Source organism: Homo sapiens, chromosome 2 (genome assembly GCF_000001405.40).
Source record: "Homo sapiens chromosome 2, GRCh38.p14 Primary Assembly".
NCBI classification, from domain to species: Eukaryota; Metazoa; Chordata; class Mammalia; order Primates; family Hominidae; genus Homo; species Homo sapiens.
This window is the reverse complement of record NC_000002.12, coordinates 88,761,739-88,774,041: the sequence shown is the minus strand read 5'-3', so window position 1 is coordinate 88,774,041 and position 12,303 is coordinate 88,761,739. Positions and strand designations below refer to the sequence as shown.

The 12,303-nt window shown below is 40.7% G+C and overlaps 1 pseudogene across 1 annotated transcript in view, besides 3 other annotated features; it reads right to left on the bottom strand.

Moving 5' to 3' along the window:
- The window catches only part of ANKRD36BP2 (ankyrin repeat domain 36B pseudogene 2), a 40,695-nt pseudogene extending 32,555 nt beyond the window's left edge, over positions 1-8,140 (bottom strand). The window contains exons 1-2 of the transcript NR_015424.1: positions 7,846-8,140; positions 998-1,069 (exon numbers count right to left, since the gene is read on the bottom strand). The product of NR_015424.1 is annotated as an ankyrin repeat domain 36B pseudogene 2 (transcript). The remainder of the gene's footprint in view (positions 1-997; positions 1,070-7,845) is intronic.
- Positions 8,490-8,569: a silencer, noted in NCBI's record as "silent region_11735". NCBI's record gives its function as "represses an Ori minimal core promoter by ATAC-STARR-seq in GM12878 lymphoblastoid cells {active_cell/tissue: GM12878}" and the evidence as "EXISTENCE:reporter gene assay evidence [ECO:0000049][PMID:35858748]".
- Positions 8,690-8,759: a silencer, noted in NCBI's record as "silent region_11734". NCBI's record gives its function as "represses an Ori minimal core promoter by ATAC-STARR-seq in GM12878 lymphoblastoid cells {active_cell/tissue: GM12878}" and the evidence as "EXISTENCE:reporter gene assay evidence [ECO:0000049][PMID:35858748]".
- Positions 8,959-9,460: an enhancer, noted in NCBI's record as "H3K4me1 hESC enhancer chr2:89064099-89064600 (GRCh37/hg19 assembly coordinates)". NCBI's record gives its function as "activates a minimal SCP1, AML or CMV promoter by ChIP-STARR-seq in naive H9 embryonic stem cells {active_cell/tissue: H9 hESC(naive)}" and the evidence as "EXISTENCE:reporter gene assay evidence [ECO:0000049][PMID:30033119]".

Below are 12,303 nucleotides of genomic sequence, written 5' to 3'. Positions count from 1 at the left end.
TAATTTCTTATATAGTACAAATCAATAAACGCAACCACATAAGCAAATCTATGTTGGTATGTCATCGTATTTATGTTCATTTTGTATCAGCATGAAGAGACTTTAATTAATTGTGGTGCAGTCATAAAATGGCATACCACAAGACCACACAACAAATCAAAGATGACCAAATTGTGTCAACCTGAATAGATCTGAAATATATACCACTGATTAGAAAAGCCGAGTTGCAGCTATTATGTACGCTGTGTGAAATCGTATAGAAGACTTGATACTTGGAAACAGATTCTACACATTACCTATGAAAGTGCAAGTATCTTGTAAAGTATTTTTAATGTGCATTGCAGTGATTTAAAAGAAAAAACGTTAATTCAGGCTGTTGGTTACCTGTAGGCAATAAATTGTAGTAGAAGAAAATATTCTAAGGCCAAAACAGCTCAGAATCATTGTTTTAAAACACTGTATCTACCAAAGAGTTACAAAAGAATGATTAATCATTTTATTCATTTTTAATCAGAGATACACACACACATGCAGAAACTCAATCTGGTAATCAGAAGATGTGATTAAGTAAAGATTCTCAATGTAACAACACTGACATAAAGGAGTTGAAGTTCTAAAACAATTGTAACGTCAGCAGGTATAGCTTTTCTCTAGATGAAGAAGAGAGAAGAATATTGCAATCAATTTTGAAGCACTGAAAATATTTAGTGTCAAAATACACCTCCTCAAATCCCTAACATGCACAGGAATTCAAAACTGGGATCTTTAGATGATGACAACTTTAAAGGAAAAGCATTTGGGCTAGAGCTTAAGGTGTAAAATGTCTGTCTTATGCCTTAAATATCATTTTATAAACAAAGATATTAACAAGAACATCAGCATATTTACATCAAATCCTTCCATCTCATTTGGAAAAAAAGTGGGAATCAAAAAACATGAGCATTTTCAATATTTTCATCTACATTTTCTAGAATGAAATTTGTAGTGGCAAATTTACCTTCGCTGAAGTTAGTGAATCCATACTTCCTAAGAATCTAGTTGAAATGTGATCTCTGTCTTTCACCGGATGCTGAATGGGTTTGACAACATAATGATTAACATATCATGTATATATCACAGAACATTTTGTTAATAATTAAAGAAAATATGTTTACTGTGAATAAAGGCGGTTGCTCAGGAGACACTACAAAGCAAAAGGAACACATAATTGACTACAGGTAAATATGACACAGCCTACCATCAATCATGCAGTGTTTGTATCCAGCTGAAATCTTCGTGCTTGCCCTTGAAATTGTTACCCATTAGGCTTTGGGTTGCTTTGCTCTTGTTTTGGTTAGCACACAAACATGACAGGAATATACACATGAAAAATCACAATATAGATTCTATAAAACATGCAGTTCAGATTGCAAGGGTGAGATTAGGTTTCACATGACTACAAGTAGCATAGAAAAGTATTTCTACCAATGTGAATCTGCTGGATGAAGCCAAAAAAAGTGATGTCAAATGAGAGAACCAAATCGGACCCCAGAAGAATAAATGTTAGAAACTATGAAGTTGCAATGAGAGTGCATGAAAATGTATCATTCACGGCCGGGCGTGGTGGCTCACGCCTGTAATCCCAGCACTTCGGGAGGCCGAGGCGGGCAGATCACGAAGTCAGGAGATCGAGACCATCCTGGCTAACACGGTGAAACCCCGTCTCTACTAAAAATGCAAAAAATTATCCAGGCGTGGTGGCAGGCGCCTGTAGTCCCAGCTACTCGGGAGGCTGAGGCAGGAGAATGGCGTGAACCCGGTAGGCGGAGTTCGCAGTGAGCCGAGATGGCGCCACTGCACTCAAGCCTGGGTGACAGAGCGAGACTCCGTCTCAAAAAAAAAAAGAAAAGAAAAGAAAAGAAAATGTATCATTCGCTTCTGCTGGCAGAAAGTGCTCTCAATCATTACTTTAGATATCTACTTGGAGAAAAATCGTTTCTAAAAATACTCATGTTATCCACAGTCATGAAGACTTCTGATATTTTCAACTTCTGGATTCTCAACTTTAGTTCTCTTGCCATCTTTTCATTCACTTATGCAAAAAAGTATGCATTACACATCGAATAACTAATGAGTATTCAGATTTTCATTTACAAAATGTAAACAAAAATCTCTGAATCACCATTGACTTTTTTTCATAATAATCAACTTTTTTTTTTGACATGGAGTCTTGCTGTGTTGCCTAGGCTGGAGTGCAGTGGCACAATCTCGGCTCACAGCAACCTCCACCGCCCGGGTTCAAGTGATTCTCCTACCTCAGGCTCCCTAGTAGCTGGGACTACAGACACATGCCACCACGCCTGGCTAATTTTTTGTATTTTTAGTAGAGATGGGGTTTCACCATGTTAGCCAGGATGGTCTCCATCTCCTGACCTCATGATCCTCCCGCCTCAGCCTCCCAAAGTGCTGGGATTACAGCTGTGAGCCACTGAGCCCAGCTTAATCAACTTTTACATATCAAAATCTTTGCCATGATTATTGACAGTTACACTTTTAGTATTCAAGAAATAAATTTCTCGTTTGTTTTTTCTAAAGTCAGTTTGATATGGTATAGCATAGCAGCCTCTGAGGTACCTTTATACAATGGCTATTTCATCAAAAACAGCATTTTTTTAAAGAAAACCGCCAATGTTTTGATATCCAAGTGCATCCCAGTTAACTAACAAACATGAATGAAGCACATATGATTGATGTGTAACCCCTATAGAGAGAAGAAATGAGTTCCTGTGGTTTCCTGCTGTTCTTCTACCCTCTGCTTCCAGTAAGCTCCAAAGCAGCAATAATTTAATCTTCTTTTTGAGTGGGAATATACTGAGTCTACATAAAGTGAGTTCCCTCAAGTTTCCTCATCAGAAACCTCCAAATTACCTAGCCAGCTACTTTCTTAATTTACACCATCCCGCCTCACATTTTTTTGTAAATCTAATGTCCATTTCTCAACAATGAATATTATATTTTGATCTACAAGTTTAAATGTTCATCAAAGTTTTAAGAAAAAATGTTTAAATTAAATTATATTTACTATTAAAAATTAATAAATTATATGTATAATTTAATTAAAATTAGGTGTATAATTTAATTAAAATTAGGCTTATAATTTAATGTAATTTAACAATTAATTTAATTTCAAATTTATTTTAAATTATATTTAAATTAGTTATATTTATTTTCAAAAATTTTATTAAAGCATAGAAAATTATTCAGCTATATTCACTACCTCACCACCTTTTTTTTGTACACAAAAAATAGCATTATCATTATTTGATTGCTCTCATGGAGCACTTTTTATAATACCAATACCATTTGCTTTTTGTCCAGTTGCTGGTAGTGCTTTTCCTATTTAAAAAAAAAAAAAACAACAAAAAGAAATCTTCAGAAAATGTTATATTTACTACTCAATCAGTCAGTAATTCAAGAAACATTTTCTGTGTCTATAAATTCATAAGGTCTATCCTGGAAAATCTGATAATATGATAAAATATGAATTTTATTTATCAAGTGAAAAAAGCAATTTATAAAAACAAAAGCAGAAAGACACAATTCATTATTTCTGCAATTCAAGTCAATAAAATACAGTGACAGCACAAAGGCAATAACAATTATTCCTACTTGGGAAGCTTCTGAGACACCGCAAATTTAGGGTTCTATTTTTAAAACAGACAAGTGAAGAGTAAGAGTGTGAGGTGTTTCTGGTGAGGGCAGCATGTGCAAAAAAATAAAGCATGAAACAGCATAGCCAATAAGACATACCACAATAACGTGGTAAAACTTGGACACAGACAGAGAAAGTGGGGTGAAGAGATAAAATGGGAGAAACAGGCCAAACCGCAAAATAAGGGTTATGCTAGAATGTAAATGTTTCCTTCACGTAATGAGGATCCAGCCATAAGCAGATGAGTTAGATCAAAGTAAACATGTTTAAGGCTGTTATTTAGCCTTTCTTTGCTTCAATTTCTTTATCAATAAAATATATAAGAGAATAGTAGCTATCCCACAGAACACTGTTGTGATGCTTACATGAGAATCTATGTACAGCATTTAGAACACTTTCTAACATAACAGCTCAATAATTTTTAGATATTACTACTTACAAAGACATTTTAATTAAGTAAAATGATACAATCATATCTACATTGAGGTATCTATTAAAGATTAGATGTATCATTGTATTTCAGTCATTCTCAGATGCTCATTTTCTCACTATTCTCTTATATAAGCTACTGTTCTCTTATATATTAACATCTCCTGACATTGGAATACTGTTTACAATTCATTATTTATTACAATTATAACTGGCAACATTTTAAACGTTATCTTATTGATATATAAAGTAATGTGGCATCACACAATCCGTGATGCCTTACATTAAGTGGGATACAATACATAGAACAGGCAGTTCTACTCATATAATTGGCACATAAATAAAGTACTGTGGAAAAAGAAGGCAAAAATAAAACAACAAATTTTTAAAACAAAGTAATTCTTACTTCAATTTTCAAAAAAAAAAATAATCCAAAGAAAACTCAGGATTCAAATGAATAGGTATGGCTCATTTTTTTCAATACTTACAGAATGTTATGTAAATTAGGTATTTGCAATGATTAATAGTAATATTTGAGACTGTCATAAGTTTTTGAAATGGCAGTTGAAGGTTATCTTTTACTATTTTCTAACTTCAGAATTGCTTTTGTTTAAAAAAAAGGAATAAAAGATCCAATTGGGATTCAGTCCTAATGCTTCCATTTTAAATCTCTCAGCTTGCTCACGCTGGGCAGGTAAACATGAAGTTGTTAAGGGTGGAAGAGTCCTGAGAGATGGTGGAATGTGTCTGCTACATAATAGGTATTCAGGTTATGCTTGATGAATAACTGGATTGAAAGAATGCATACATACAGTTGGGGAGTTTATTATGAAAAAAACTATAAATTAAAGCAGTGCTTTTAGAATAGTGATAATCACTTATATTTGCTCGTTTTCATTTTCATGAGGACACTGATAAACTAAAATAATTTAAAATTGTTTGCATATATGTAATAAAACTATAATAAAAACCTATTTATATACTAAAATCTATGCATAATAAAATAATCAAGCACAAATAAAAATATTCCCTCTGCCTCTGAAGAGGCTAAAAGTTCACAGAAGATACCAATAAACAAAAAAATAAAAATAAGGCCAGGCACAGTGGCTCACACCTGTAATCCCAGAACTTCGGGAGGCCGAGGCGGGGGGATCACCTGAGGTCAGGAGTTTGAGACCAGCCTGGCCAACATGGTGAAACCCCATCTTTACTAAAATATACAAAAATTAGCTGGGCATGGTGGCGCACACCTGTAATCCCAGCTACTCAGGAGGCTGAGGTGGGAGAATCACTTGAACCTGAGAGGCAGATTGCAGTGAGCCGAGATCATGCCACTGCACTTCAGGCTGGGTGACAGGGTGAGACTCCATCTCAAAAATAAACAAACAAACAAATAAATAAATAATAAAATAAAATAGGAAGTAAGAATTATTTTTTCTTTGCAAGATTTACATTTCTTCTTTTCCCAAGCATAATTTCATTAATAAAAAAACATTTACTAGAAGTTTTAAACATACTGATCATTTATACATCACAGATAAGAAAAAATAACACAATACACCTGCCAGAAAAGAAGAAATGTTATATTTTGTACACATATTTGGCTTACAAACACCATAGACTGTTTGTGTGTATGTATAATCAAACCAACTTTTTTTCAAAGTACATCTTCACACCTCAACATACATCTGTATCTACTGACATCTGCAAAGGTCCCATATTGTTCCATCCTATGGATGCACTGAAATTTATTGATAGATTTATAAAATTTATAAAATCCATTATAAGGGGTTTTCCAAATACATTGCTATTTTAAGCAGTGCTGAGAAAAAAAATTGCATGTATCTCTATTTCCTAGAGATATTTTAGTATAATGGAATTGATGGGTGAAGGGCACATACATTTTTAAAGTGTGATACTTACCAACAAAGTGACTATTTGAAAAGTCATCAGAAACGTAAACTTTAAACAGCAGTATATGTACTGCTACTCTTTACCCTCACAAACTTGTGGATAGAAAACAGTATTTCATTCCTTTTTTAACTTAAATACCTTCTCCTCCCAGGAACACTAAATATTTTTTCCTATGTGCATAGGTTGCTTGAATATCTGAAAAAAAAATGCTTTGCTCTATTTTAAATGAGAGTTCTTGTTTATTTGAAGAATTCTCTGTAAAATGAAAATCACTTTTTTATCTAATATGTATATACACATATTGTCTTTTGTTAATTTTTTCTTATAAACTGAATTTTTTTTATTTTGCTAAATCAACCTTCAGAATGTGTGCTTGTGATATTTGTAGGAATATAAACATGTATAAGTAGGCATTTGTGTTTTTTTCTGTTATCTTTCTTATTTTGTGCATTTAAAATTTTTAATCTACATTCCATAACGAACTTATTTCTGTGACATAAAAATCTAGCCAGATTTATCCAAGTAGTTAGCAGGCACTTCATTTATGAGTAATTCATCTTTTCCTACTAATATGAAATGTCACCATTATCCAATTCTATTAGATTGGTGCAAAAGCAATTGCGGTTTTTGCCATTCCTTGTAATTGTGGCAAAAACCACAATTGCTTTTGCACCAACCTAATAAATTCTTACACATATTGGTGTGTTCCTGGATTTTCTAACCTGTTCCGTTCACTGATTTGTTGTTTCAGCTGTTAGTAAATACCTTGTGGAAATTAACAGCACATTTTCATATCTAGAAAGGCAAGTCTTTTTTGACTCCATTTCAAAAGTTTTCTTAATGTCATCACAATAGTAAAAGACAGCATGAGTAATTCAAAAATGTTAACACTTTAATAACTTTATTGGGATTATGTAAAATTTATAAACACAGAAAGAGCTCAGAATTTTAGAAAAATGTGTCTTTCTATTCAAGAACACAGACCATCTTCCCACTTCAAAGTTTCCCTCTAAGGTCCCTCAGTGAAAACCACATTGACATAGGTGTCCATTGATATCAAATAAATATTGCATTTTTATCCAAAGAATTTTTAGTCAGGGAGTTGATATATTATGGAAATGATTTCTCTCATTATGCAACTTTCCATAATGTATGTAACATTATGCTTTAAAATGTGTACATTAAAAATAAAACGCTGTACATGCTGAATTTTATTGGCGAAATCACTTTAAAATGATTTATAAAGAAGAAGCATGGTGAGTGATTGGAAACCAGCTGAAGTTTTGTTTTTGTTTTGCTGCTAGTGAAAATGGCCTGGGTGCTCACCCCCGCCAAGGTTTCCACATCCCAGGTGCGGCTGAGCCTGCCAGGAAAGAAAGTCCAGCCCCTTTGGTGACAGGACTCGCCCCCCTCACCTCTGCACCCCTTTCCCCCACCCCATTCACCCCTACACCTCACCCCCACCTCCAGTCCTCTATCCCACTGAACCCTCACCCCATCTCCCCACCCCACACTGTCCACACCCCTACCCCCCAAGCCTTCATTCCATCCACCTCAGCCCATTCACACCCCCACCCCATGCACCCCCTACTCCCCACTCCCATCCCCCAACTCACTCCACACCCCGCCACCCCATATACCCCCACTCCCCAGGCCCCGTTCCACTCACTCCCACCCCAGCCAGGCACCCCCTAGCCCCCGTCCATACCCCGAGCTCCGGACCATCCGCCCCACAGCCCTCAGCCTGGAAGGGGGTACTTCTCCACATCCACAGGCCTCCTCCCGCAGCCCCGGCTCCCGGCCCCCATTACCTTTCCTCCTTGTCTCTCTCATTGGTGTCATGATACGTGAGCAGAAGGTACTCCAGTTTCTCCAGATTACCATAGAAGACAGCTCTGTGGATCCTCCTCAGATGAGACGATTTAATGTGGTATTGGGGAAATGAGAAGCCCTCCGAGCACAAGCGCTCCCTGAGGGTGGGCCACCTCTCCGGCTCCTAGTCTTCCACAATCGTCGGCTACAAACTGTAGCCTGGGAACGCTCCAGCCGTATTTCAGCTCGCCTTCGGGGATCGCCGCCTCCGAAGCGCAACAACAAGCAATGCAGTCTGTCCACCTACCTTCGCACAGACTCTCAGCCCCTCCCGCCTCTCAGCAGAAACGCCCAACAGAACCGTTAGGACCAGCGAGCACGCGCACCTTAGCCGGCCCCGCCCAACAGGCCCGAGGCGGAGAAACCGCCCTAGCAGCTCTCTCGCCCCGCCACGTGCAGGCGGCGGTTGCTGCGGAGGCGCAGCGGGCTGGCGTGGCTCCCTGGAGCGCGAGGCGCGCCCTGCCCCAAGGCCTGTATGACTGTCGCCCGCGCGCTCTTCTCCTCTTCCACCGGCTCCCGACGCGCGGAGCCCTCCGCGCTGGGCCCTCTGCAGCCCAGGGATGGGGTTGAGTGGCGCTTCTCCGCCTGGTGCCGCCGCCGGGCCCACAGCCCGACTTCGCCACTGCGTCGCCCCCGGGTCCGCGCTGATGGGCGCGAGGCGGAAGGACTGGATCCGGGGTTGCCACCGCTGCAGCCAGAGCACCACTTGCAGGTGGCAGCTGCAGCTCGGGCTCCGGCTGGGGCTGGCGGGGCTCACCTGGGATGGCCTCCTGGTCCCTGAGTGCGCCGCCTATCCGGCCGGAGGGTGCACGCCTCCTGCAACCCGGGCCGAAGCCCATGCCCAGCGCTCCTGCTGCAGACTGCCTGACTTGCCGCTGCCCCGCTGGCCCCGGGGTCCGCACGGCTGGAGGCGCAGTCCTGGTCGGGGATTCCCAATCCTCGGCGACCCCTGGTCCGTGTGCTGGTGGCGGCTGCAGCTGCAGCGCCGGTGGGCTGACGTGGCTTCCCGGAGCTGCGGCCCGCCGCGCCCAAGGGCCCCACAGGCTGCGCCGCCCTTGCCAGCTGCTCTTGACCCCTGCCCTGAGCGCAGGACCTGGGGCTTGGCACTCTGCAGCCACAGGGATGAGGCTAAGCGCCGGTTCTCGGCCTCGTGGCGCCGCTGGGGCCACAACCTGACTTCACCACCCAGTCGCCCAGGTCGTGTGATGGGCACGTGTGAGGAGGGGCAATCGGGGTTCCTATGGCTGCTGCCTGCATGCCACTCCGTGGCCACTAGGATAGGGCTGAGGAGCCGCCAGGGGATGAGCATGTCGTCGTGGCCATCGGGATGGGGCTGAGAGTCTATCTTTATCCTTATGCACCTACTCAGCCGACTTCCCGACAGCCACTACCGCAGTGTCCTGTCAGGGAGTCCTTGCTGCTGGGGCAGTGGTGGGGAGGGCGTGGAGAATCAGGGATGGTCTGGCCATTGCTGCTGGTGCCTGACGTGCAGGTGGCAGCTGCACCTAGGGCGCTGGCACGGGCTGGTAGGTCTTCTCTTTTGGATGCTGTCCAGGTGGCCCATTGTGCCGTGGCCAAGCCCGAGGGTCCACTACACCTTAGCCCGCACTAGGAGTCCAGGGGCCACAGGCGTGGGTACTGCTGGCCAACCAGAAGGGGATCAGCAGCCAGTTCAGCTTTCCTGCCTCTGCAGGGCCTGGTTGACAGCGGTGGCAGTGTCTGGTGCCAGAGTCCGCAGTTAGGGTCCTGGTTGGGGGAAGGGGTGGGCAGATGGTGGTTGCCTGGCCACTGCAGCCCAAGGGAGACATGCAGGTGGCAGCTGCACTATAGGTGCAAGAGCAGGCTAGCAGGGCTCCCCTGGGATGGCCTCTGGGTGGCTGAGTGTACTGCCAACCTGGCTTAAGAGTCCACTCCTACTCCACCCTTGCCTGGAGCATGGACGGTGGCACTGGGCACTCTGCAGCCATGCGCATGGGGCTGAGGGGTGGTTTCCTGGGGTGAAGCCACTGACACACCAACTGCCTGACTTCATACCATGTGAATAATTGCAACCATGTGAATAATTTCATTAAATGTAAATTAAGCACATATATTAAAAGAACAAAGCTGGAGGCATCACGCTACCTGACTTCAAACTATACTACAAGGTTACAGTAACCAAAACAGCATGGTACTGGTACCAAAACAGATATATAGACCAATGGAACAGAACAGAGGCCTCAGAGGTAACACCACACATCTACAATCATCTGATCTTTGACAAACCTGACAAAAAACAATCAATGGGGAAAAGATTACCTATTTAATAATGGTGTTGGGAAAACTGGCTAGCCATATGCAGAAAAATGAAACTGAACCCCTTCCTTACACCTTATACAAAAATTAACCCAAGATGGATTAAAGACTTAAACGTAAGACCTACAACCATAAAAATCCTAGAAGAAAACCTAGGCAATACCATTCAGGACATAGGCACGGGCAAAGACTTCATGTCTAAAACACCGAAAGCAATGACAACAAAAGCCAAAATTGACAAATGGGACCTAATTAAACTAAAGAGCTTCTGCACAGCAAAAGAAACTCATCAAAGTGAACAGGCAACCTACAGAATGGGAGACAATTTTTACACTCTATCCATCTGACAAAGGGCTAATACCCAGAATCTACAAAGAACTTAAACAACTTTTCAAGAAAAAAACAACCCCATCAAAAAGTGGGTGAAGGATATGAACAGACACTTCTCAAAAGAAGACATTTATGCAGCTAACAAATATATGAAAAAAAGCTCATCATCACTGATCATTAGAGAAATGCGAATCAAAACCACAATGAGATACCATCTCACGCCAGTTAGAATGGCAATCGTTAAAAAGTCAGGAAACAACAGATGCTGGTGAGGATGTGGAGAAATAGGAATGCTTTTACACTGTTGGTGGGAGTGTAAATTAGTTCAACCATTGTGGAAGACAGTGTGGCTATTCCTCAAGGATCTAGAACCAGAAATACCATTTGAGCCAGCAATCCCATTACCGGGTATATGCCCAAAGGATTATAAATCATTCTACTATAAACACATGCACACATATGTTTATTGTGGCACTATTCACAATAGCAAAGACTTGGAACCAACCCAAATATTCATCAATGATAGACTGGATATGGATAAAGAAAATGTGGCACATATACACCATGGAATACTATGCAGCCATAAAAAAGGATGAGTTCATGTCCTTTGCAGGGACATGGATGAAGCTGGAAACCATCATTCTCAGCAAACTAACACAAAAACAGAAAACCAAACACCGCATGTTCTCACTCGTAAGTGGGAGTTGAACAATGAGAACACATGGACACAGGGAGGGGAACATCACAAACTGGGCCTGTCGGGGGATGGGGGGGTGGGGGGTTAGCAGAGGCATAGGATCAGTAGAAATACCTAATGTAGATGATGGGTGGATAGGTGCAGCAAACCACCTGGCACGTGTATACCTGTGTAACAAACCTGCACATTCTGCACATGTATCCCAGAATTTAAAGTACAATTTAAAAAAAATTTTAAAAAGAAGACATAAGAATTCTAAGTGGGCACATACCTAACATCTGAAATTTAACATATATGAAATAAAAATGGTTAGAACTGAAAAGAGAAACCCACAAACCCACAATTGTAGTTGGTGCCTCCATTATAGTTGGAGAGTTTAACACTTCTCTCTCAGTAATATAAGACAAGCAGACAGAAAATTAGTAAGGATGTAAGAGAACTGTATAACATGTTAACAAACTAAATTAGATTGATATTCACATAGCACTTCACCTCAAAATAGTAAAATATACATTCTCTTAAGTACATATGGAATAGTCACCAAGATAGCCCGTCCTGGGTCAGAAAACAAACCTAGATACATTTAAAAGAATTGGAATCATACAATATATGGTCCTTGATTACATGGAATTAAATTAGAAATCAGTAATAGAAAAATAAATGGAAAAACACTTAAATACTTGGAAATTTAAAAACTTCTAAATAACTGAAGGGTTAAAAGGAAATTTGAAGGGAAATTAGAAAATATTTTGAACTGAACAAAAAATGAAAATGCAACATATCATAATTTGTGGGATGTTAGCTAAAGCATTGCTTACAGGGACATTTATAGCACTAGATGCTTACATTAGAAAAGAATTCTCAAATCAGCAGTCAAAGCTCCTTCCTGAGAAGGCAGTGCTGCTTGAGCTGATAATGGTCAATGTGAGATTAAATGAGTTAATGTAAGGGAAGTTATCAAAATGATGTTATACATAGAAAGAACACAGTAAGTACTTTCGAAGAGTGGATGAGAGGTGGTGATAACTTAGAGAAGTGGAGGTGAAGATGAGAGATGTGGATAAAGATATTTGGG